The sequence below is a fragment of the Homo sapiens genome, chromosome 1, assembly GCF_000001405.40.
Source record: "Homo sapiens chromosome 1, GRCh38.p14 Primary Assembly".
Lineage (NCBI taxonomy): Eukaryota > Metazoa > Chordata > Mammalia > Primates > Hominidae > Homo > Homo sapiens.
In genome coordinates, this window is record NC_000001.11 from 38286101 (window position 1) to 38313387 (window position 27287).

The 27287-nt window shown below is 41.1% G+C and overlaps 1 long non-coding RNA gene across 1 annotated transcript in view; it reads right to left on the minus strand.

Moving 5' to 3' along the window:
• Nucleotides 1-14097: 14097 nt before the first annotated feature.
• LOC105378657 (uncharacterized) overlaps nt 14098-27287 on the minus strand; it is a 203343-nt gene continuing 190153 nt past the window's right edge. The window contains exons 3-4 of the long non-coding RNA XR_947210.3: nt 25153-25280; nt 14098-14337 (exon numbers count right to left, since the gene is read on the minus strand). This is a non-coding gene — a long non-coding RNA (uncharacterized LOC105378657). The remainder of the gene's footprint in view (nt 14338-25152; nt 25281-27287) is intronic.

Here is a 27287-nt window from a genome sequence, read left to right on the forward strand (position 1 = left end):
ATAAATGCAGTGCCTGGCTTCTGACCCCAGGGGTCCTGGGAGCCGTTTGGGGGGTTTGTCCCCCTTTATTTGCTTTGTGAGTCTTCATTGGCTGAAAATCCCCTGGCCTCCTGGTCACTGAAAGGAAGAGGATTCCCCAAAGACATCACTTTCTCAGGATGGAAGAGAATTCCTGCAAATGGGACTTTTAATATTCAGAGCTAGATCCCCAGAAAGGCTGAGGAGGTGCCCACAGGCTTGGCACTCCTGGCTGTGCTGTGGCTGCAGGGCCTTGGTTTGCTGGACCCTTGGAGCTGGCATAGGAGGTGGGAGGTGATGGTCCTGGGGAAACCCCAAACGGGGACACAAAACAGGGCATCTCAGAAATCAGAGCTGGAGAACTTGCAGCTGGGAAGAGACAGGCCCTTGACGGTCTAACTTCGGGCAGAAATAGCTGTAGACACAGAGGTACTTGTCTATGTCTCTAACATTATTGAGAACTTACTATGTGCCTGGGACAGTACTCAGTATTTTACAAACACTGTCATATTATGCCATAACAACTTCTCAAAATTAAGCAGCTAAGATTATCCCTGTTTAACCAGTAACAAAGCTGAAGCTCAGAAAGCTAAAGTGAGGTGCTCGGTATCAGTGTTAGTAAGTGTCTGCGTGGCTTTGTATCACTCTGGAAGCAGAGTGCTTCCACACTGTTGACTGCCTTGATATCTCCCATTGCTGGCCCATCCCTTAGACAAGGGAGGACTTCCAGGTCCTTCGAGTAGAGTGATTAAGAACTTAAGCTCTGGAGTCAGATTGCTTGGGTTCGAATCTTAGCTCCACAACTTGACATGGCCAATATGGCAGAGGGTGAAGGGCAGGGCTGCCCCCCTGCCATAGACTTGGGCAAGAGATGCCCCTGCCCTGAGCTCTGGGCTTTAAAAGGAGCTTCTCTAGCCCTCCTCAGCCCCACTCCTCTTCTGGATAAGCAACTCTTGCATCTAGGGGTTGCTCTCACCTGGAACCCTACTTTTCATTCTAGATGAAGATCATATTCCAGGTACCTGGAATACCAGGGTTTCCTGTCCCAGTGCCCCTGAACCCACTTCCAGGGCCTCTGTGGGCCTCTTCCCTGGGTCCATCCTCCTAGAGCAGGCCACAGTGCGAGGCGTGGGCAAAAGGCAGCTGCTTGCAGGTGTTGGGGTATTTTGTGAACAGAGAAGGGCTCTGGCCAGTGTGGAGCTTTGCAGAATCCAAGGATCTAAATGCAAGTCTGGACTTGCAAGTCCTTGTGAATTTATATTTGTCAAAGTCTTTCATTCAACATATTTAGAATTTTTAATTGTTTAGACTTGTGGTACATGGTCCTCCATTTGTGTCCTGCAAGTGTTCAGGGTGGTCTAGCCCTAGCACAGGGTCTGCTTGCCTGGGTTCAGATTCTGGGTTCTGCTCCTTTGTAGCTATGTGACCTTGAGTAAGTTACTAAATTCCTCTGTGATTCCTATTTTTTCATCTGTAAAATAACAGCTCATAGGATTGTTGCAAGAATTAGGAAAAATTATACATGCAAAGTGCTTAGAAATACTGCCTGGAATGTAGTAAACGCTGGCTTGGATTTAGCTCTTATTCCCATTTCAGAAGGGCTGCATTTAGAGAGATTCAGTTTAACTTCCTGTGACCCTGGGTGGCAGAGCAAAGGTCAGGAGGGACACTAAGCATTGCAGTTGAGCTCTGGGCCTTTACCACTCTCTCGCTGTATAACTTATGCAAATTTCTTATCCTCTCTGCGTCTTTTTCCCTGTGTCTAAAATGGGGATAATCTGAACCACCTCAAACTGGAGAGTAGTTAAGAATTAAATAAAAAATATCTGGCAATGCGTGGCACAGTATCCAGCACATGGTAGTTTACAATTGCTCAGTTTTACTCTCATAACATCCCCATTTCTTCTCATTATCTTTCCTACCTTCTGTTTTCACTCCTCACTCAGATTCATAGTCATTTGCTTCTGAATGAATAGATTAAATATCTGTACAATCACAGGGGATGGGTTTTCCAGATTGGGAAACTGAGGCTTGGGGAGGGAAGTGATTTTCCCACGGTTACACAGTGATGGGTGGAAGAGCCGGGGCTTGGGCCGTGAGTCATGGAGTAGAGTCCTGGAGAGGGGACAGTACGACACCGTGAGTGGTGCTCATATATGAGCCATGCAGTGGTCACAGATCTCCAGGGGGTGGGGAGCCTTAGAGATCCCCCTTTTACAATTGGCAAGACAGATCCTCAAGGCCATGAAGGGACCTTGTGCAGTTGACCCCTCTCTCTGCTATCAGTTTCAGGCTTTTGAAAGCCTGGTAAGTAAGCTTTCGTAAAACCAGGCCTGGCTTTGAGCAGGTTCATCTTCAGTTTCTCGCTGCCTCCCAACGGATGGGGCAGAAGAGCGACGAGAAGATTGGTACCTTCCCTCCCTGGATTGGACACCGGTTTCTAGAATTCCCTGAGGGGCTAACCTCTAATTTCAATATGTTAATGTGTGGAATCTAATGGCACATTTATTGCTTATGGAGATGCTAGTTATTTACATGGGAAACTGATTTATCTATTAGATAATTAGTAAACTTCAATAATTGCAAAAACCTTTTAGCAATCAGTTGACATTTAATTAACATACAATAACTGTCTTATTAAATCTACATTAAATGCCTATTGGAGTTAATTAAAACTCATACCTACAACTCCACATTCTTTGGGAATCCTCATTAAAGCCCACCAGTAAGAATGTAGATGAAAAAATTCCCTGGAAAGGGGTTTCTAATGGAGTTGCTTGAATGGTACTGAAACATTTATTCAGTGCCTTCTATGTACTTTAAACAATGGAAAGCTAGACAGAAATATGCCTTGCCTTCAAGGAACTTAGAACCTGGTAGTGGTGGGGTGTGGGGATCAATGGAATGGTGGTCAGGCATGGTGGCTCATGCCTCTAATCTCAGCATTTTGGGAAGCTAAGGTGGGAGGACTGCTTGAGCCTAAGAGTTTGAGACCAGCCTGGGCAGCACAGTCAGACCTGGTATCTACAAAAATAAATAAATAAATAAATAAATAAATAAATAAGCCAGGTGTGGTGGCGCCTCCCTGTAGCCTCAGCTACTCCAGAGGCTGAGGTGGGAGAATCACTTGAGCCTGGGAGGTTGAGGCTGCAGTGAGTCCTGTTTGTGCCACTGCTCTCCAGCCTGGGCAACAGAGCAAGATCTTGTCTCAAAACAAACAAACAAAAACAAATAGTCACAGAGACAAATGTTGCTCTCCTACTCCAACAGGTACAATGAAGGGCAGGTAGGTGCTGGGAAAAGCCACAGTATGAGGATTTGCAATTGGAATTGTGTTTAGAGGGAGTCATTCTGGCTGAGGTGAGGAGAATGAGCAGGAGGCAGATCCAAGTGCATATGTATAAACCAGGAGGCTGTTGCAGTGGTCCAAGTGAAAGAAGCTGGTAGCTTGAACTGAATGGTAGATAGTAATGAGGATAGAAAGACGTTGAAACATTCAACCCTCAATAGGAGCTAGGGGAAGGGAGAGCTAGAGGAGGACTTCTAAGTGTCTGGCTATTGGAATTGGGGGCTGATGCCATTCATTGGACGTAGAAACACTGAGAGAGGTCCACATTTGGGATGAAGACCAGGAGGTCAGTTTTGGATATGTTGAGGAAGAGATATCCAAAAAGAGATGTGAAATAAATATATAGGCTTTGAACTCAGAAGAGAAGTTAGGGCCAACAATTTCACAAATCCTAATGCTTGGGTTTGACTCTGAAGATTCTGATTTCTTTGGTCTGGTCTGCAGGAGATTCTAAAAGTCGAGTTTGAGAATGAATGGTCTAGAAGTAGAAAGTGTAAGAAAGCAGAAACCTAGAACAGAGACTTCATTGCCCACTGCCTTAATCCAGGCATCCCCAGCTGGTGCGGTTCACCTCTTCCAGATCCCATCCTTATCTGCCCATAGATATAAGCTCATATTATCCTTGATCCTGTAAGTAGTAATCATATCACCCTTGTTCCTGAGTGCTTCCTGTGTGCCCAATGCTTTGCTTCTGTTCTCCCATCTGATCTTCATAATGAAATGATGAGCTATGTATTATCTCCATTTTAAAGAACAAGGAAGCAGAGGCTCTGAGAGGGGCAGTGTCTTGCTCACGTCACACAGGTGGTATTAAGTGGAAACTAGGATTTGAACCCAAAGCCATTGGACTCCAAAGTCCTCATGCTCTAGCACTATTATATACAGCCAGTCTCACTATAAAGCCAGAGAGAGGCTCTGTAACATGCCTGTCTTATAGGTTATAAGTCAAACGAAGGATATGGATGGATTTGTGAATGCCAGCTATTTCCTTGCTCTTTGCTGGAGAAAGAGATGAGGTGTTTGCTGGTGGACTTCTCCTTTCCCTGTGAACTGCCCTTTGGTTTGGAGCCATAAAAAGCTAACAGAGAAGAAAGAATTAATATCTACTGAGTAGGCCAAGAAATTATTGTAAAGAACCCCAAACTCATATGTATATTATCGAAACTTGTCCATAAGCCAGCCCTTCTCAAAACATATTCCAGAATTAAATGTTGGTACTTAGAAAAAAAAAAAAAAGACTTATGTGGTCAAAGAAGTTTAGAAACTGCTAGACTCCTCAGATCTTTTATTATTCTACTATAAAGCTTCAAGATGGGCAGAGAGCTTATAATTTCCTAACCTTATTTAACCAAAAAATGCTGCTTTTCTCTCCCCAGCCTTATTATTTTTTAAATTATTTTTTTATTTTTTTGAGACAGAGTTTCATTCTGTTGGTCCGGCTGGAGTGCAGTGGCATGATCATGGCTCACTGCAGCCTCGACTTCCCAGGCTCAGGTGATCCTCCCACCCCAGCCTCCCGAGTAACTGGGACTAGGGCACGTGCCACCATGCCCAGCTAATTTCTGTATTTTTTCTGGTGGAGATGGGGTCTCGCCATATTGCTCAGGCTTGCCTCCTACTCTTGGGGCTTAAGCGATCCGCCCACTTTGGACTTCCAAGGTGCTGAGATTAGAGGTGTGACCCACTACACCGTGCCTTCCTTTTTCTTTTTTTAACAGAGTATCCAGGGCAGCATACCTCAAAGTGTGAGTTCCCAAAGCACTGACATCAGAACCACCTAAGAGGCTTCCTAAAAATGAGACTCTTGGTCTCCACTCTGACTCTCATATCCTGCATCAGAACTTCCCCCAACGGGGCCTGAAAGATCTGCGATTTGATCAAGCCCACCAGATGATTCTAATGCCCACTAAGCTTTCATAACTACTCTCCTAGAAGGGCTCATGTTCTGAGAAACACTTTGGGAAATGCTGCTGTGGGCTGAATAAATTTATCTTTAATTTCCATGAATTGCTATTTTAAAATGGATATAGATGCTGTAATAAACAAAATACAAATTTACTTGAACTGTTGCCAAATCCACAGTTGTTTTTGTTAAACGTTAATGTTCTTGATGGTGGTGGCAGGGGTGGGGGTGGGTACTAAAAATACAATTATCCTCCTGCATGGGGTCAGTGGAGCGTTTTGAAATTAACAAGGGGCTTTCAGGTCCCAGAATGTTGGCCTAGAGCATGCAGAAAAGACCTAACACAGAGGTTCTTGTCTGAGCTCTGTGCAGCCTGGGGATCTTAGGGGCACCTCAGAGACCATGGAGAGGGAAAGGATTTCTGACTATTTTGTTTCAACTGCAGCAGTTTTATTATGCTCCGTGCAAATTTTGTTTGGAGTCAGGGTTTAGCTGCTTTAGAAGGAAAAATAAAAAGTTTGAATTGACCACTGATGCAATTCCTTCAATTGTCAGAGGTGGGAGATGTGACCCAGAGAGGGAAAGACACTTCTTTATGGTCACCCAGTGGTCACCCAGAGGGCCAGTGGCAGGGCCAGGACAAGTTGGCCAGCAGTTGGCCCCAGATTGCTGGGATGAGTGTCGGGGCTGTTAACATGCGGCCCACGGCCAGCGCGGCCAAAGTCAGCTGTAAGTCAGAGCCGGCCGGGAAGCAGTCCGAGGAGAGCCCACGGCTTCCTCCTTGGGGCTCACCTCCCTCCCTGGCCTCGCCGTTCCTCTCCCCGTTGCCTTTTCTGAGCACCTAAGCATATGTATGAAGCGGAAATCAAACGCCTGCCTTGGACTTGACAGAACTGCTGAACTAAGAGCCATATAATGTCCTCTACTGAAGGACATCACCTTGTCAAGATAAAGCGTGGTAAACGCTCCACAGGAAGCCGGGCTTCCAGGGCGGGATCATGCATATTCATGGCGGCTCAGGCCTGCCCACTGCACCACCCCCAGGCTCCCCACCGGCCCGCTGCCCAGCCTGGGGAGCCCTGGGCAGAACGCTTGATCCGGAGCCGGACTGGGTTTTCCCACTGCTTCCCCGTCGCTGGGAACAGGCCCTGGTGGAGGCTTGTGTCCTGCCTTTATTGATTTCAAGCCCAAGTTTCCCTTCACCACCCTCCAGCTGGCTTTATGCCGCCCTCTCCAGCTTTGGGGACCCAGCAAACACACCCAGAAGACCCCTAATCATGGCGTTCAAGGCTCTTTGTGAGCCAGCCCTCACCTGTGGTCAATAGCATCCCCCTGGACTCTGCCACGAACCACCGGGAGCTTATTGTTTTATCTTGGCTTTCACCTCTAGACCCTTTTGCACTCCTGTGCTGTTGCTCAGCCAGCCCCCTGCCTGGGATCCCCTTTCCCCTTCTCTGTGTGGGGAACCTCCACTATCCTTTTAAAGTCCAGCTCGAACACCACCCCTCCCTGAAGCATTCCTTAGCCCCTTCATCCTCTTGGCAACCAGACACCATCCTCCAGCCTCATGCCCTTTAATTGCTCATTTATGTGTCTCTTTCCCTGCTCTCCACTGAGAGCTCCTTGAGGTCAGGGCAGCATCCCCAGCCCCCAGCCCAGGGCCTGGCTTGGAGTGGGACCCGTAAGGGTGAGCTGATGTCCTGATTACTATTCCTGTGTGTATCTGTCTGCTCAGGCTGCAGTAACACAGTACAACATACTGGTGGCTTAAACAACATCAATCTATTTCTCACAGTTCTGGAGGCTGGAAGTCGGAGATGGAGGTGTTGGCAGGGTTGGTTCCTTCTCAGGCCTCTGTCCTTGGCTTGTAGATGGCCACCTTCTCCCTGTGTCTCACAGGGTCTTCCCTCTGGATGTGTCTGTATCCAAATTTCCTCTTCTTTTGGGGATACCAGTCATGTTAGATTAGGTCCCACTCATACGACCTCATTTTACTTTAAGCACCTCTTTAAAGGCTCTATCTCCAAACACAGTCACCTTCTGAGGTATCGGGGGTCAGGACTTCAACATATAAATTTGAGGAGGGGGCATAACTCAGTGTCACACATAACACTGGGTAACGAGATTACCCCTCTCCCCCAATTTAGCAGGTTTTATCATGCAGGAGGTTTTATAATTCACATGAATTCTGTGGGTCGGGACATTGCAGGGATGTCTTGGCTCTGCCCCACGATGTCTGGAGCATCAGCTGGGAACATTCAAAGGCTGGGGCTGGAGTCCTCTGAAGGCTCATTTGCTCACAAGTCTCACATGTGGGCTGGGATGACACAGAGACTAGATTGCAGTTGAAATGCTTTTCCACGTGGCTTCACTTCCTCACAGCATGGTGGCCTCAGGGTAGCTGGGCTTCTTACTCAGTGGCTCAGGGCTCCACGAGCAAATGTTCTAGTGAACAAAGCAGGGCTGCATGAACTTAGTGACAGCATCTCTGTCATTCTCTGTTGGGTGAAGCCTTCCAGCTGTCTTTGTGCTGCTATAACAAAATGCCATAGACTGGGTCATTTAGAAAGAGCAGAAATTTATTTCTCACAGTTCTGGAGGCTGGGAAGTCCAAAATCAAGGTGCCAGTAGATTCCTTGTCTGGTGAGGATCCTATCTCTGCTTTCAAGATGTTGTCTTTTTTTAAACATTTTAATTTTTTGTGGGTGTATAGTAGCTGTATATATTTATGGGGTACATGAAATGTTTTGATACAGGAATGTAGCATGTAATAATCACATCATGGAAAATTGGGTAAGCATCCCCTCAAGCATTTATCCTTTGGTGTTACAAGCAATCCAATTATACTATTTTCATTACTTTAAACAGTATAATTAATTTATTATTGACTATAATCCCCCTGTTGTACTATCGAATACTAGGTCTTATTCATTCTTTTTATTTTTATTTTTTTAAACCCATTAGCCATCCCATCTGTCCTCTCACTACCCTTCCTAGCCTCTGGTAATCATCTTTCTATTCCCTATCTGCATGAGCTCAATTGTTTTGATTTTTCAATCCCACAGATAGGTTATAACATGCAGTGTGTGTCTTTCTGTGCCTGGCTTATTTCACTTAACATAATGACCTCCAGTTTCATCCATGTTGTTGCAGATGACAGAATCTCATTCTTTTTTTGTGGGTGAATAGTACTCCATTGTGTGTAAGTACTACATTTTCTTTATCCATTGATCTGTTGATAGGCATTTAGGTTGCTTCAAATCTTGACTATTCTGAACAATGCTGCAACATGGGAGTGCAGATATCTCTTCAATATACTGATTTCCTTTCTTTGGGGTATATACCCAGCAGTGGGATTGCTGGGTCATATGGAGCTCTAGTTTCAGTTTTTTGAAGAACCTCCAAACTGTTCTCCATAGTGGTTACACTAATTTACATTCCCACCAACAGTGTACAAGGGTTCCCTTTTCTCCACACCAAGATGGTGTCTTGAATGCCATATGCTCCAGAGGGAAGGAACACTGTATCCTCATATGGAGGAAGGCCAAAGGGCAAAAGGAACAAACTCCCCACTTTGAGCCCTTTAATAAGGGCACCTAATCACGTGGGAGAAAACTTCACAGCTTAAACATCTTTTAAAGGTCCCCCTCTCAATACTGTCACATTGGCAACACCTGAATTTTGGAGGTGACTCATTCAAACCATAGCACAAGCCCACAGAGATTCAAGAGGAAGGGAATTAGGCTCCATCCACTTTGTGCGCGAGTGCGCGCATGTGTGTGTGTGTGTGTGTGTGTGTGTGTGTGTGTGTGTGTGTGTGTACTACATGCACACACCACTATGTCCAGCTAATTTTTGTATTTTTTTGTGCAGATGGGATCTCACTATGTTGCTCAGGCTATGCTCAAACTGCTGGGCTGAAGCAATCCTCCCACCACAGCCTCCTAAAGCTCTGGGATTACAGATGTGAGCCACTGTGCCTGCCCTCCCTCCACATTTTGACAAAAGAGTAACAAGGTCATATTGGAGAAGAGCATGTGGGAGGTGAGACATGGTTGTGGCCATCTTTTTTGGGGAAATGCAATCTGCTATGATTGAGTTAAATAGAATTCAAAGGGACACCTTACAGTCATTACTATCAGACATGTTGGAATTGGCTGCAGTCAGGGAAAAACAATTTAGTTTCTCTTCTTTTCCTTGGAACACTATTTGGCATATATGCATATTTTGGGGCTCAGTGTCTTTCATCGTTATGTTTATGGTTATAATGACCACATCTCTCACCCATTAGCTGTGTGGCTTTTGAGGTCAGTAAGCTATTCTTCCCAGAGTGCTTGACATAGGGCCTGCGGCATGGTAAATACCCACAGTTTTTGAGTTTCCTGTGGGTTGAGCATTTAGAATCATCTGTTTGTTTAATCAGGACATATTTCTCCAGTACCTTCAGGGGTCCCAGTACTATGTTTAGGAACTTAGCCATCACTTGCACAGTAAACAGTATCTGTGGATTTTGTCATTCAACAAACACTGCCATTGTTCAGTCACTCAACAAACGCTGTTACGGCATCCACCCTGGGGAAAGAAGGGTCTCTTGGCAGAGGGGGCCGCTCTCCAGCTAATGCTGTGCTAAAGATGCATGGGGCAGAATTCTAATAGCATCGTGTGTTTCATTTTGCCCATTACAACGCCATTCTATTTTAAAGCTTGTCTTTCTAACTCTCCTATTTTTCTTCTAGACTGTGCTCCTGCTATATGGCTCCAGTTTCTCTAACCATTAGGAAGGTATTATAGTTACTGGAGAGTCATCTATCATTTTATGAGCCTCTTTCAAGGGAGGAAATAACAGGTTGTTTCAAGTGCGAGGCGATGGCTCACAAAGCCCTGCGGAACAGGCGTCCCGCTCCCAGGGGATCAGCCAAGCGGCGTTTATCTTTGACACAATAAGCAAAAGATCAGAAATGATTACAACAAATGGCCGAGTAAACAATCCATCCACAACAAAGGGCAGCTACCCAAAATGCCGGAAATTGAATCCACACACAGCAGCCAATTCCAGGCTGTGGCCTCAATGGCTCCATCACACATCTAGGGATGCAGGCACTGGGAGACAGCAGGGCTGCAGCCTCCCCTAAATGTTTTGGCTTTCCGATGCCCAAATCAGAATGCCCTTCAAGGGATTTCCTTACTGTGGCTCAAAAAGTCCATGATCCTTAGGACTTTGTCTATTTTACCCACTGCTTTAGCCCCGTTGCCTAGAACAATGGCATATACCAGACATGTGGTAAGTATCTGCTGATAGAGGGAAAGAATGCATGAATGATTGGGCTGGCCCCTGCCTGCCTCTCCAGTTTCATCTCATGCTTCCCCTTCCTCATAGTTTTCACTGGACTTCTTTCAGTTCTAGAATACAACATCTTTGTTTCTTCCAGGTCTCCTTTGCACACTCTGTCTCCTCTGGTTGGAACACTCTCTTCCACCTCTTCCTGATTAACTCCATGCACTCTTTAGGTCTTAGCTCAGGTGCACCTTCTTCCAAGAAGCCTTCCCTGACCACACTCCCTCTCCAGGCCCACCCACCCTAATGGCACTTTCTCTGGCACATTCCTTTTCATAGTTTCTTGTCTATGGTCCCCACTAGGATATAAGCTCTGTTCACCATTCTGTTCACTGCAGAGACAACAGCCAAACACCAAAGACTTGCACTCCTCTTCCACAGTGTAGAGCTGCCTCAGGGAAGCAGCTGCACAGCCAGGGACTGTGTTTCTCAACTTTGCTTGCATTCATGTGACTACCTTTTGCAGTGGAATGTGAGTGGAAGTGATATGTGTCTCTTCTGGACCAAAGCAGTTAAGCAGGGGCATTCATCCTTCATACTTGATCTCTTCCTTCATTCTTCAACCTGATGCAAAGGGTCTAGTGAAGGACTCTGAGAAAGCATTGATGAAAACCACTTAAATTCCAGAGGCATCACCCGGAGCTGAGCTCCTCAGGAGAGATGACCAAAGGGAACATCTGCATTGGATTTTGTGTAAGTATGAAGTAACCTCTGATTGCATTAAGCCACTGATAATTTGGGGATGCTTGTTACAGCAGCTAGCATTAATTGACTACTCTACTGTTTTATTTCAACAAGTATTTGTGAATAGGAGAGTTTCCTGGCCACACAAGCCTCATACCGTGTCTGTACAGCACCCGGGCCCAGCACTTCTTAGGAGCTCGCGGTCTGGCAGCAGAGAGTAATTTGGGAATCAGTTCACATCATTGTTAAAAGCATCAATTTGTTAGATTAGATGGACTGAGCCTTGTACCACTGGGAAACATAAAGATTCTTTGCTCATGGATAGAAATGGTATTATTCAACACAGAACATCTTAATTAAAATAGGCAAATAATGACCTTTGACAAAGCACACTAAATAGGGTTTAAGTGTTACTCTCTCTCTCAACCCCGGTTCCATTAAATCTTGTAGATGCCACCTCTAGCTTTCCCATTTGTCCCAGCAAGACAAGTCTCTGGGTGGCCTGGAACCAGCCCAGTTCTCCTTCCTTTCTCACTTATGGTTCTCAAGAATAACTGTAGAATGTGCTGAGAATGTAACATCCTGAGATGGGAAAGGATTGGCCAGAAGAGTCTGGGCTCTGTTCCAATCTCCCCCCTAGAAACAGGATGTTCTTCGGTGCTTTTGTCTGGTGACTCATATCTCCCTGGGGTATAAGACCCAGGGTGGGCTGCTTTCTGGGGCCTGTGGGCTGCGGTGCAAGTGGGGCACATGCAGTCAAGACTCCTTCCACGCTGGGCAGCTTTCTGAGCCTGGGGACCGGCTCCCAGTGAACCCTAGGCTTCGGTTGTCTCTTGCTACCTATCTGTAAGTCATAACCCTGCTTCATGTAACCTGTCATGTGTGTGGTTGCTCTATGTCACTGGATTCAGATAAGTGGGTAACCAGTGAACACTGAACCTACTTCACAGCCCCATTTCCTTCTCCCCAACCCCTCAGTTCAGTCTTTGTTGCCTCCCACCAGATCCACCCAAGAACTCTGGGCTGGTTTACTCCCCTCCATGTTCACATCTGGCCAACACTCACTTTTACCGGTGTTCCCCGTAACCTGCATCACAGCTATAAGGTTGTTCTAAAACCCAGAACTGGCCTCATTGTCACCTGTTGCCTTCTGGGGAAGTCCACACTCCTTACCTAAGATTCAAAGTGCTTCAAGGTATGACTCTTGCTTTTCCCTCTCACCTCAAATCCTTCATTCACATAATGTCTCAGAGACTCTAAGCCCCACCTGCCCCATTTGTACCCTGAGAATTTCCGCATCCAAGACTTTGTTCATACATTTCCTCCTATCAACACATGGCCAGGCTTCAAGGCTCCACCCAAATGCCAACTTTTCCAGGGAGCCTACCCTGATTGTCCTCCCCTGAATTCCCACAGCCCCTTATCTGTGCCTCTCTTAGCACCTCTTTTAACCTAGGTGTCCCTGAAAGCAGCACCCAAGGCTTGTATGTCTTTATTTGGAAAGTGGTGCCAGGGAGCAAGTGTGAGGATGTAAGGGGATGAGGCAGAGAAGGAGGATAGCCGATACAAGGACAGGGTACCCAGCTGGCCACCATTCCAGGCCTTAAGAAGTGAGCCTTAGGATTGTTTGCCTTGGGGAATGAAAGGTGACCCCACAGATGTTACCTACCTCCCCTTCCACCTTGCACAAGTGCCTTCCCAGTGGGTTCTGTCTGAAACTCTCCCTGGGACTTCCGAGAATCCTCAGGCAGAAAGTAAGAGGCATGTGTCATGACCTCAGACGTGGCTCTGTCAGGTTGCGCCTGCAAGAGGCTGACCAAGGCCTGTGCAGAGCCCGTCACTCAGTGGTGGCTGGAGGGACAGGGATTTTGAAATGTTTTAAAGTGGCCTGTAAGAGGTGTCCCACATCTGGCCCAGCTCCTAGTCTACCTGCTATTGCAGTCTTGGGGTATATCTTGTTTTCTTTGTCTCATTCAAGGAATCTTTGAAGGCAGGAATTATATTTCATCCCCATATCCAGCATGAGTCCTACTACATAGTGGGGTTCAAATATGCTGAATGAATTTCATTCAAATGTTTGTTTTTATTGTTTTATAATATTCAAATATTTGTTTTTTTGTTTTTATCTGTAGACAAAATATACATATATAACTTGCCCAAAGGAAATCTTCCTTCAATGTGAATTACAAAAGAATGGAAGCAGGCTAGCTATATCCAGAGAAAAATCTTGATCAAAACAATAATAATAACAGCTAATAGTTACATGGTTCTTAATACGTGCCAGGTGGTTTAAATGCTCTCTATATGCACTTATATGACCCTTACAGCAGCCAAATAAAGTATTATCATTATTATTCCCATTTTACAAATGGAGAAATGGAGGCAGGGAGGGTTTAAACAACTTGCTCAAGGTCCCATGGTTGTGAGTGGTGGAGCTGGGATTTGGCCTGGGTGATGTTCTGACCCCTGTGTCTGGACACCTGTACACCCACCCATTACATAGCCTGGCAGGGCATTGCCCAGGACAGGTAGGGCCACTGCCTGGGGTATTCTTACCACTCAGATCCTGGAAGCTGGTAGGGGCAGAGGATTTGCTTAAAGTTAATTTTTGCTAAGGTTTCTGACAAAAAGTCTGCAAATGCATGTTACATTCTTATTAGCTCCTGTCTCTGCCCATAGAGGAGGAACGAAATATGGGATTCTATCTTCTAAGTGTTTCTCTCTCTTCTTGCAAACAAAAAGGAGAAGAGCATGCTGATTTGAATAATAAACAAAGAGTATTTATAAAAGAAAAAATACAAATAATCATAAGGAATAAACAAATTTTTCTTTACTTATAAACAAAAGAACAAATTAAAACATTAATATCCCTCCCCCATCCCCCTTACTTCCTTATTGTGTGTTTATGGTTGGGTGGGTCAGGACCCTGGGGAAGAGGTTCTCCCATTCACTGCTGGTAAGTCCTTCGAGTGGTAATTTGGCAATATGTATCAGAAGCCTTAAGAGTTCGCACATGCTTTGATCCAGCAGTTCCTTCTGGAACAGATCCTAAAGAAACAGAGATGTATGCAGAAATTTAATTATAAGTGTATTTACCAAAACATTGTTGATGGTAGTGAAAAAGCAAAAGCAACTTAAATGTCTGACGATTGAGCTGGTTATATATCATAGTGGATTTCTAGGGCAGTCATTAAAAAATAATGTTGTGGAATAATATTTAATGGCATGGAAAGATGCACATGATAAAGTATTAAGTGAGAAAAGCAGGTTACAAAACAGACGAATTACTGGGGGAGATAAGACACATGTATAAACAACTCAAACATAAGTTGGAGCCTAGCATAGTAGGAAGAAAAACACATACTCTGGGACCAGATTGTCCAGATTCAAACCCCAGCTCTGCTAAAAACTAGCTGTGTGAGCTTGGACAGGTGACTCAACTGCTCTGTGCCTTAGCCTTTCATCTGTAAAATGGAGATTCAGCTAGCGTCTATCTAGATAAATCAGCATATACAAAGTGCTCAGAAGTGCCTAATACATACAAAGCAAGACGTGAGAGTTTGTTAAGGAAAAAATTTCACTTCTATCAGAAATATAAAGAATGGCTTGTGGAAAGAGGGTTCATTCTCTTGCAGGAGATGTGGGCCAGCCTCGGAGAGGCAGAAACCTGGGTCTTGAATGATGTGAAGGGCTTCTATAGATGGAGAAGGGGCAGGTTGAAGGATTCCTTCCCCAGTGTTTCCCAGGAGGCCAGCTACAAGGCTTCCCCCAAGGGGACATTGAGGGAGCGCCTCTCCACTGAGCCACACTGGGCCTGGGATGCATGTGGCTGCTGGGAAACGGTGAGCCTTAGCCTGGGGAGGTTGGCTCTCAGTCTCTTGGGCAGCTCCCCTCTGCTGCCCCGGCCAGGCCTTCTGTTTGTGTAGAGCCGTGCATTTCTACTTTTGCCGAATGGCACAGTCTTGCCAGGCAAGTTTTAAGACAGAAGGTTAAGCCTTGTTTTAAGAAATATGCATGCTTTTAAAGAGACGAATTTTATTTTTAAAAATTATGTTTTTATAGAAGGCCCTGCTGTGCCAAAGTTTTGGGAAAACATTAATCTTACAGACTTGTTGGATGTTAGAGACTTCAGTGACCATTCACATCATGTAATTGATTGATAGATGGAGAAATGAGGGCAAGAGACTGGAGAGTTTTATCCAGGAGGTCATGACAAAACCAGGGCCAGAGTCTAAGGCTCCAGACTCCCAGTCAGGTCTGTGAAGGCAAAGCCAAAACCCTTATGCTGGGCCACGGGAATAAAAAGGGACAGATTTTGGCTCCATACGAGGGTATTTCTTTTCTTTTCTTTTCTTTTTTTTTTTTTTCTGTTGTTGTTTTTTTTTGAGACAGAGTTTTGCTCTGTCACCCAGGCTAGAGTGCAGTGGTACGATCTCGGCTCACTGCAACCTCTGCCTCCCAGGTTCAAGCAATTCTCCTGCCTCAGCCTCCCCAGTAGCTGGGATTACAGGCACGTGCCACCACGCCCAGCTAATTTTTTGTATTTTAGTAGAGACGGGGTTTCACCGTGTTGCCCAGGCTGATCTTGAACTCTTGAGCTCAGGCAATCCACCTGCCTCGGCCTCCCAAAGTGCTGGGATTACAGGCATGAGCCACCGCACCCGGCTGAGGGTATTTGTTTTAACAGGGAAACCTGACCAGAACAGAAGTTGCCTAACAGGTAGTGAGCTCCCCGTCACTAGGGTCATGAAAGCCAAGCCTGTGGGACTCTTGAGAAATGACACATCTAATTAAATAACTTCTGAGTTTTCTTCCAATTCTGAGATTCCACTGTGCCATGATCTTTCATCATTTTTAAATTAATCACTTGATAATAAAACACAGGAATCCTCCCTTATTGGCAATTCCACTTTCCAGGGTTTCCGTTACCCGAGGTCAACCACAGTCTGAAAATATTAAATGGAAAACTCAGAAATAAACAATTCCTAAGTTTAAATTGCATGCCATTCTGAGTAGTCGTCTTGCTTGATTCTGTCCCGGGCGGGAATCATCCCTTTGTATAGAGATCCGTGTGTACGTGCTATCTGCCCATTAGTCAGTCAGTAGCTGTCTTGGTTTATCAGATTGACTGTGTATGGCAATGCTTGGGTTCAGGTAACCCTTATTTACTTAGTCATGGCCCCAAAGTGCAAGAGTAGTGATGTGGGCAATTTGAATATGCCAAAGAGAAGCCATAAAGTACTTCTTTAAGTGAAAAGTTGAAAGTTCTTGACTTAATAAGGAAAGAAAAAAAAATTGTATGCTGAGGTTGCTAAGATCCATAGTAAGGATGAATCTTCTATCTGTGAAATTGTGAAGAAAGAAAAAAATTGTGCATATTTTTGGGCTTCGGTGTTGTGGTTTCAGGCATCCACTGGGGGTCTTGGAATGTATCCCCCTTGGATAAGGCGGGATTACTGCATTTCAAACATAAAGAAATAAAGGTAAAAAAAAAATGTAATAGAAACTCATATTGCACCATCCAGATTTAGGAGGTTAATATTTTGCTGTATTTGTTGTAGTCTGCTCTTCTTTTTCTCAGGAAGAAAAATCACAGATACAGCTAAAAGCCCCCATGTTTTCTTTCCTCCTCAAAGGAAATTTGCTCAAAGTTTTTAAAAAATCACTCTGTACCAGTTTTTATACATTTAATGCATATATGTATAACCATAACAATATGTGGGATTGCTTTTTGTGTTCTTAAAACTGACGTTAATTGTATTGTACTGACTTTGTCCTTTTATAACTGATGTTTCTCATTTAATGTTACATTTTGAGATTTAACCACATCTGTGCATGAAAACTTAGTTCATTTGTTTCAACAGCTATATAGTAGCTCATTGTGTGAATGAACTGCACCTGACTTACTTATTCTCTGTTCACGGACATTTAGGTTGCTTCCTAATTTTTCTCGATTACAATATCTAAAAGTGGTATTGCTGGATAATATTATATGCACATCATCTTCAAGTTTACCAGATATTGACAATTTACTCTTCAAAGTGGTGTGCCTGTTTACAGCTCCACCAACAGTGAGAGAGTTCCTGATGCTTCCATCCTCCAAAATCTGTGGTGTTAGCAGTCATTTTAATATTTGCCAATCTGATATGCATGAAAAGTTGTCTCGGTGTTGCTTAAATTTATTTTCTTTCCCTTTTCCTTCCTCCTCCTCCAATACTATGCACACTAGTCATATTGCACTGTCTAGGACCTCCAGACATCCTAGTTTGTTCTTGGCTTTGAAAGAAATACTTCTAACATTTCACCATCATACATGATATTTGCTGTTGGTTTTTGGCAGGTGATTTTTATCATGTTAAGGTTCTCTTCTTAGTTTAAGGGTTTTTTTTTTTTTTAATCATTAATTAGTGTTGCTGAATTTCATCAGATGCTTTTTCTAAATCTATTGAGATGATTGCATGGTTTTTCTACCTTAATTTGTTAATCTGGTAAATTTAAATGACAGATTTTCTTTTTTGCTTCAGTTCTTTTAAAAATAAATAAAATATTTCAGATATAATTGAAGCTGTGTATGCTCCTAGTTGATCTCATTCTTTTTCCTCCCTCTCCTGAGGCAAACACCACCCTCAACTCAGTGTTTTTCATTCTCATGCATAGTTTCATACTATTGCTACATATGTATGCATCATAAACAATATGTGGTGTTGTTCTGCATATTTTCAAAGTTTATGTAAATGATATCTTACTATGCATATTCTAGAATTTGCTTTTCCATTTTGATAGTTGTAGCTCTAGTTCATTCTAATTGCTACGTGACATTGCATTGTGTTACTATACTACAATTTATTCCTTCTTTTGTTTAGGAACACTGAAGTCATTTCTAACTTTTAGCTATTACAAACAACGGCACAGATAAATATTCTTGTAAAAGACTCTCTGCAAAATGCAAAACTGCCCTGTTGGGCCATAGAATGTGCTTTTCTTCAATATTGTTAAATGTGGCTAAATTGCTCCCCAAAGCATGCTCCCAGAAGTATAATTAGAGATCTGTTTTTTCATATCCTGAACAATACTTGGTGTTGTCAGCCTTTTAATGTTTGCTGGCATGATGTCCATAAAATGATATTTCATTGTTGTTTTAATTTGAATTTCTTCAATTTACTAGTGAGACTGAGAATCATATATATATGTGTATATATAATGTATGTGTATATATAATGTGTGTGTGTATATATATACACATATATATCATTCTCAGTTTCACTAGTAAATACACATACACACATATGTATATATGTATGTATATGGATATATGTATATATGTGTGTATATATATTTATGTGTATGCATATACATATACATATATGCACATACACAAAACTACATTACTCTGTTCATATCTTTTGCCCTCTTTTTCTTATTAACTTGAAGACTTTAAAGACTATATATCCATTTTTCACTCAAAATGGATTAAAAACTCAAATGTAAGACCTGAAACTGTAAAACTACTAGAAAAAACATATAGGAAAACCTTTCTGACATTAAGTTTGGGCAGTGATTTCTTGGATATGACCCCACAAACACAGGCAACAAAAGCAAAAATAGACAAATAGGATGGCATCAAACTAAGAAACTTCTACACAGCAAAGGAATCCATTAATAGAATGAAGAGACAACCCACAGATTGGGAGAAAATATTTGTAAATCATACATTAGAAAAGGGGCTAATATCCAAAATATACAAGGAATTCAAACTACTCAATAACAAGAAAACAGATGATAACCCTATTAAAAATGGGCAAAGGACATAAGTAGACATTGCTCAAAAGAAGACACACAATGGCCAGCAGATATACGAAAAAGTGCTCAATATTGCTAATTATCAGAGAAATGCAAATTAAAATCACAGTAAGATGTCTCCTCATTCCTGTTGGATTGGCTATTATCAAAGATAAGTGTTGGTGGGGATGTGGAGAAAAGGGAACCCTTATACACTATTAGTGGTATGGTAAAGTAGTAGAGCCATTTTGGAAAACAGAATGGGAGGTTCCTCAGAAAACTCAAAATAGAATTATGATATGATCCAGTAATCCCACTACTGGGTATATATCCAAGGGAGTTGAAATCAGTATATTGACGAGATGTCTGTTCTCCCACAACTGTTCCAGTATTACTCACAATAGCCAAGATATGCAAACAACCTAATTGTCCATCAAAGGATAAGTGGATTCTTAAAATGTGGTATATATACACAATGGAGTACTATTAATATTCAGCCTTACAAAAAACCCAGGAAATTCTGTTATTTGTGACAACATAGATGAACCTAGAGGACCTACACTAAGTGAAATAAGCCAGGCGCAGAGAGATAAATATCATATGATCTCATTTATTTGTGGAATCTAAAAAAGTTGAACTCAGAAGTAGAGAGTATGAGAGCTCAGAAGTAGAGAATGCTGGTTGCCAGAGGCTGGGGGCAATGGGATGGGAAGAGAAGGAGAAGATGTTGGTCAATGGGTACAAGGTTTCAGGTCAGGAGGCATAAGTTCTGGTGTTCCATTATGCAACATGGTGACTACAGTTAATGATGTATTGTCTATTTCAAAATAGTGAAAAGAGAGGATTTTAAATGTTCTCACCACAAGGAAATGATAAATATTTGATATGATGGATATGCTAAAAATATGTATTCTGAATATTATTTGTTGATCATATGTGTTACAAAGATATTCTCCTAGTCTGTGACTTGTCTTTTTCTTCTAATCTTTTAAAACTGTAAAATGAAACATACCTTCAGAAAGGTGCTTAAGTCCTAAATGTTCAGTATAATTACAAAGTGAACACTCAGGAAAATTACCACTCAATTTAAGAAGTAGAAGGTCGTCAGTTCCAGAAACCCTTCATGTGTCCCTTCCTAATTATACTTACTTCCTTTCTCCTGGATGTAACCATTATCCTGATTTTTATTGATCACATTCTTGCTTTTCTATATAGTTTAGCCACCAATGTAGTTATCTCAAAACACTATAGGTTAGTTTTTCCTACATTTGAACTTTAAATAGGCGAAATCATTTTGCACTTTTTCTTTTATGTCTTACTTCTCTGATTCAACCTATGTTTGTGAGATTAATTAAACCTTGTGATATGTGGCTGTAGTTCGTCATTTTCACTGCTGATGGCATTTTATCAAATGAATGTTCCACAAAAATTCTACTATTGATTTGCCTCACTCCTCCAGTTTTTGAATATTTCAAACAATATCACTGTAAACATTCTTGTACATGGCTCTGGGCACACGCATGCATGAGTTTCTCTAGGGACTATATGTAGGAGAGAAGTTTCTTAATCAGAAGGTATGCATATCTTCAGCTTTATTAGAGAATGCCAACTTATTTTCCAAAGAGACTGTTGTGGCTTGTCTTTTACTTTGCATATAATAACTATTGCTGAATAAAGTTTTAAAATAAAAGTTAAATTTATCAATATTTTTCTTTTCTCATAGTGTCTTGTTTGAGAAATTCTCTACCCTGAAGATGTTTTCATCTTTTTTTTCTAAATGTCTTAAAGTTTTGCCTTTTCTATTTAGATTTTTAATCTACCCAGAATTAATTTTCATATGTATTAAAAATGTAAGCAGCTAGTTTTATTTTTTTCAATAAGTAAGTGTGGTCGGTTGTCTCAGTGCCATTTATTGAAGAAGCCATTCCTTCCTTATTGATTTGTGACATAACCTCTGTCACATATCAAGTATCCATTTAAGAGTGGATCTTTTCGTTGAGGTGGTTTTACTTTTATTTGCCATGTGATTTCTTTAATGGCTTAATTTATTCAAGTTTCTTATTTCTTCTTGAGCCAATTTTGGTAATTTTTATTTTCTAGAAATGTAAAATTCTTTGTGTTTTCAAATTTTAAAACATAAAGCTGATCATATTCTATTATGATTATTAAAGTCTCTATTTTAGTTATATCCCCTTCTTCATATCTAATTTTGTGTATTTATGCCTTTTGTCTTTGTTCCGTTGCTTAGTCTTACTGGAAAACTGTTTTATGAGTTTTCCTTTTTAAGAGAAATAGCTTTTGTCTTAGTTGATTCTGTTATTTTCTTGTTTTTTTGTTTTATTAATTTCTACCCTTATTTTTAATATTTACTGTCTTCTGTCTTGTTTTTGTTTACTACAATCTTTTTATTGGTTCTTCAGTTAAATATAACATTTATTTTCTAACTTTATTTTAATTGGTGCATTTACAGTTACAAAGTCTCTTGCAGGTACTCTACTAGTTACATAGTTTTAACATGCAAACTTCAATTACAGTTCATGAGAAATACTTATAATTTTTATTGTGATGTCCTCTTTCATAGTAAGTTATTTAGAAAAGCATTTTAAAAATTTCAATGTGCGTCTGTGTTGTTTGGATTTAACGTTTATGGTTGCTTTCTAATTTACATTTATTGCCACAAGAGAAAATGATCTACATGATATTGCTTCTTTGTTGAGATTTCCTGTGTGTATAGTATTATATGTAGTCAATTTTTGTAAATAATTCATATGAACTGAAAGAGAATGCATTCTTTCTGCTTATTGGTTGAAAACTCTATATGCATTTATTAGAAAATATATTGATTTAGTTGTTCAAACCTTCTATACCTTAATAACATTTTGTCTACTTGGTATATGGTTTCTTTTTTTAATTTTTTTTGAGACCGAGTCTCACTCTGTTGCCCAGGCTAGAGTGCAGTGGCACGATCTCAGCTCATTGCAAGCTTTGCCTCCTGGGTTCAAGTGATTCTCCTGCCTCTAACTCCTGAGTAGCTGGGATTACAGGCGTGCACTACCGCGCCTGGCTGATTTTTGTATTTTTAGTAGAGATGGGGTTTCGCCATGTTGGCATGGCTGGTCTGGAACTGATGACCTCAAGTGATCCACCCACCTCAGCCTCCTAAAGTGCTGGGATTACAGGCATGAGCCACTGCACCTGGCCACTTGGTATATGATTTCTAATAGATGTTTGTTGAAATCTCCCATTATTTTTTATATTGGTCATTTTTTTTTCTAATCCTGTCTGTGTCTGTATTGTATGTTTTCAGGTAATTTTTTTAGGTGCATATAAATTCATTATTGTTATATTTCCTTGGTGGATTTTTTCTTTCTGTAAGTATATATATTAAATATGTATGTAATATATTGTTACGTACTATCTATTATACCTCAAGTTTTAGTTTGTCTGATATTAATATTACTACACTAGTTTTGTTGTTGTTGTTAGTAATTTCATGGTGTATATTTTCCATGTCTTCATTTCAACATTTCTAATTAATTTTATTTCAGATGTGTCTCTTGTGTTTTACTGGATTTAAATCTATTCATCCGATCTATTTTAGTAGATAGGCTTTTAAATTTATTTGTTTATTTTACATTTGTCTTAGCAACAGAGCCTGAAGCAATGTTGAGTCATTAGGAGAGAGAGAAAGGCTAACTGAGGCAAAGGAGAATGGAAAGCATGTGTAAGGACTTCACAGCACACCACAAGACAATGGCAATGCTTGACAGATACACTCACTTGGCCTCTTGGCACATCTCCACACATGCTGTACAGGCATATGCTTGCCTTGGAAAAGTCCATTGAACGGAAGCAAATAGAAGGCGTTTATCTGCTGGCTCTGTTCTCTTATCTCTACTTAGGCCTTCTGCCCTTGGGGATTTAACTCTTTTGAACTTCAGGCTGAGTTACCTGGTTCATGCATTGTAACATAAAGTGCCAATGGAGTGGGAAAGGACAGAGACAATGGGCAGTGGCCTCCAGCCACGGATCCAACAGAGTGGACTGTCACTTGGCAGTAGCTGTAGAAAGGCAAGAGGCTGAATGTTTGGGAGACAGGTGAGGCCAAGAGAATTTGAGGGTATGTGCAAGATGCATCTCATACAACATTTATTGTAACGATCTACATATTTGCATATTTTTTTAACCAACTTTTTCTCTGCTTTGTTTTCTGTTCTTTTTTTTTTTCTCCTTTTCTTGCATTCTGTTGAACTGAAAATGTTTTCTATGTCCATTCTTCCCCTTCATGCCCTTTTCCCCCTCTGTAGCAGTTTGGAAAATAGACTGTGTTTTTCATTTTATTGTGGTTATCCTTCAATTTTTATATACTTAATTGCATACACATACTTAAGTACTCATTTTTTTCTAACAGATTTAAGTCATTCAATATTTCTATCCTCTTCCCAAACATGACACAGACTTTAACTTACTTTAATCACTAATTGAACATCATTCTTATCTAGTTATTATTTCTAGTCATAGTTTTGCCTATTAATAAAAAAATTATCTCTTTCAGTTAATAGTTAATTAAATTTACTGACATATTTTATTTTCTAGCTCATTAGCTTCCCTCTAAATTCAGTTTTCTCCTTGCTGAAGTATATCCTTTAAGTTCTTTTTTTGTTTTTGTTTATTTAAATAGACATTATCTTTTTAGCTTTACAGAAAAAGTTGAGAAGACAGTAGAGATTTTCAAAATGTCCTCCATGGTTTCCCCTATTATTAACCTCATACATTGGTGTGAAATTCTTGTTATAATTAAGGAACCACTATTGACATATAATTATTAACTAAAGTCATTTTTTATCCACATTTCCTTAGTTTTTATCTAATGTTGTTTTTCTGTTCCAGGACTTCATCCAGAATACCATATCACATTTAGTAAGAGAGTTTTGAGGAGTAATGGCCAAGTAGTTTGTAGGATGCCTCACTATGGGAGTTGTCTGCTGTTTTTCTCATGATAAGACTGGGGTCATGGGTTACTGGGAGACAGACTACAGAGACAAAGTGCCGTTTTCATTGCATCATGTCAAGGGTACATAACATACCATCAACACAATTTATGACTGTTGATAGTGGCCTTGATCACCTGGCTGAGGTGGTGTGTCAGGTTTCTCCACTGTAAAGTTATCCTCTCCTGCCCCCTCCATAGTGTATTGTTTGGAAGGAAGTTGCTATGTGCAGCCCACACTTAAAGAGTGGGAAGTTATGCTCCCCTTCCTTGAGGGTGGAGTATCTATAATTTATTCAATCACTTATTTATGTAAGCATGGACTCAGAAATATTTATTTTTTTACTTTGGATTAGAATCTGGCATACCTTATTTGTTTTGTTGTTCAAGTTGTTCCAGCTTTGGCCATTGGGAGCTCTTTCCATTGGCTCTTGTCCTCCTCTGATACACCTCCATCATAAGTTGTTGTTGAACACTTCCTTATTTTATGGCACTATAAGAAGTTCCAGTATCATTTTGTATATTTCTTGCTCCAGTCCTAGAATCAACTATTTCTCAAAGATTCCTGCTTTCTTTACTGGAGGACAGTATTAGAAACCAAGATCTAGGCATTAGGTGTGCTTGTTGCTACTGAGGTGTCATTTCTTTTATGCCCTTTCAGCTGATAGCACAAACATTTTTATGTTAACCCATGTATATATACACAAATGTATTACTGGTCAGGTGCAGTGGCTCATGCCTATAATCCTAGCACTTTGAGAGGCCAAGACAGATGGATTGCTTGCGCTTAGGAGTTCGAGACTAGCCTGGGCAAAATGGCAACACCCTGTCTCTACAGAAAATACAAAAATTAGCTGGGTGTGGCGGTGCATGCCTGTAGTCCCAGTTACTTGGGAGGCTGAGGCAGGATTGCTTGAGCCTAGGAGGTGGAGGTTGCAGTGAGCCGAGGTTGTGCCACTGCACTCCAGCCTGGACAGCAGAGTAACACCCTGTCTCAAAAAACCCCCCAAAACCAAAAAGCACAATATATTAGTCTGGGTTCTTCAGAGAGACAGAACCAATGGTAAATATATTATAATAAGGAATTGGCTCACATGATTATAGAAGATGAGAAGTCCAAGATCTGAAGTTGGCAAGCTGGAAACCCAGGTGAGTTGATGTTGTAAATTCCAGTCTAAGTCTGAGTCTGAGTCCAAAGGAAGGAGAAGACCAGTGTCCCAGTCTGAAGAGAGTCAGTCAGAAAGAATTATTTTTAAAAGCACAAACACATTTATTTATTAACCAATGGGATGATCCTAATCAACCCAATACTTTGAAATAGTTTCAAGCTTTGCAAAAAACTGGGTGCAATGGCCAAAACAAGAATTTTTTCTTATTCAGCCTTTTCTTCTATTCAGGCCTTCAACAGATTGAATGAGGCCCACACACACTGGGGAGAACAATCTGCTTTACTCCATCTACTGATTCAAATGTTAGTCTCATCTAGAAACACTCACAGACACACCCAGAAGTAATGGTTAACCAAATGTCTGGATACCCCATGACCCAGTCAAGTTGAGACACATAAGATTATAACATAATATTTCTGTAATTAATTAGAAAAAAACTCTTGTAAAATTCACATGGAACCAAAAAAGAGCCCAAAGCGCCAAAGCAATCCTAAGCAAAAAGAACAAAGCTGCAGACATCACATTACCTGACTTTAAACTATACCTCAAGGCCACAGTAACCAAAACAGCATGGTACTAGTATAAAAACAGACACATAGGTCAATGGAACATAATAGAGAACCGAGAAATAAAGCCACATATCTGCTTTCCACAGTTACTGAACTAATTTACATTCTCACCAGCCATCTGATCTTCAACAAAGTTGACAAAAATAAACAATGGGGAAAGCATTCCCTATTCAATAAATGGTGCTGGGATAACTGGCTAGCCATATGCAGAAGAATGAAACTGGACCCCTACCTTTCACCATATACAAAAATTAACTCAAAAGTTGATTGGATTAAGACTTAAATGTAAGACTTAAAACTTTAAAAATTCTAAAAGAAAAAATCTAGGAAATACCCTTCTGGACACTGGCCTTGGCAAAGGATTTATGAATAAGTCCTCAAAAGCAATTGCAACAAAAAGAAGAATTGGCAAGTGGGACCTAATTAAACTAAAGAGCTTCTGCACAGCAAAAGAAAATATCAACAGAATAAAAAGCCAACCTACAGAATGGGAGAAAATATTTACAAACTATGCATCCAATAAAGATCTAATATCCAGAATCTATAAGGAACTTCATTCAACAAGCAAAAAATAAGTAACCCCCTTAAGAAGTGGGCAAAGGACATGAACAGATACTTCTCAAAAGAAGACATACAAGTGGCCAACAAATATATGAAAAAATGTTCAACATCGCTAATCATCGGAGAAATGCAAATTAAAACCACAATGAGATACCATCTCACACAGTCAGAATGACTATTACTAAAATGTCAAAAAATAACATGTTGATGAGGCTGCAGAGAAAAGGGAAAGCTTATACACAGCTGGTGAGAATGTAAATTAGTTCAGTAACTGTGGAAAGCAGTTTGGAGATTTCTCAAAGAACTAAAATATAACTACTATTCAACCCAGCAATCTCATTACTGGGTATATACCCAAAGAAAAATAAATCATTCTACCGAAAAGACACATACACTCGTATGTTTACTGCAGCAGTATTCACAGTAGCAAAGACATATACTCAACCTAGGTGCCTATCAATGGTGGACTGGATAAAGAAAATGTGGTATATACATATCATGGAATACTAGGCAGCCATAAAAAAGAATAAAATCATGTCCTTGCAGCAACATGGTTGCAGCTTGAGGCCATTGTTTTAAGTAAATTAATTCAGAAACAGAAAATCAAATACCACATGTTCTCATTTATAAGTGGGAGCTAAACTTTGGGTACACATGGATATAAAGATGGGAACAATAGACATTAGAGACTACTAGGCTAAGGGGTGGGGATGGCTGAAAAACTACATATTGGGTACTATGCTCACTACCTGAGTGACAGGATCAATTATACCCTAAGCCTCAGCAACACACAACATATCCATGCAATGAACCTACACATGTACCCCGAATTTAAAAGTTGATATTTAAACAATAAACCACTTAACAAACAAAAAAAAATTTCTGTAATTAACCATTTGTGCCTGTATTAAGCTAACCATGAGTTCATAG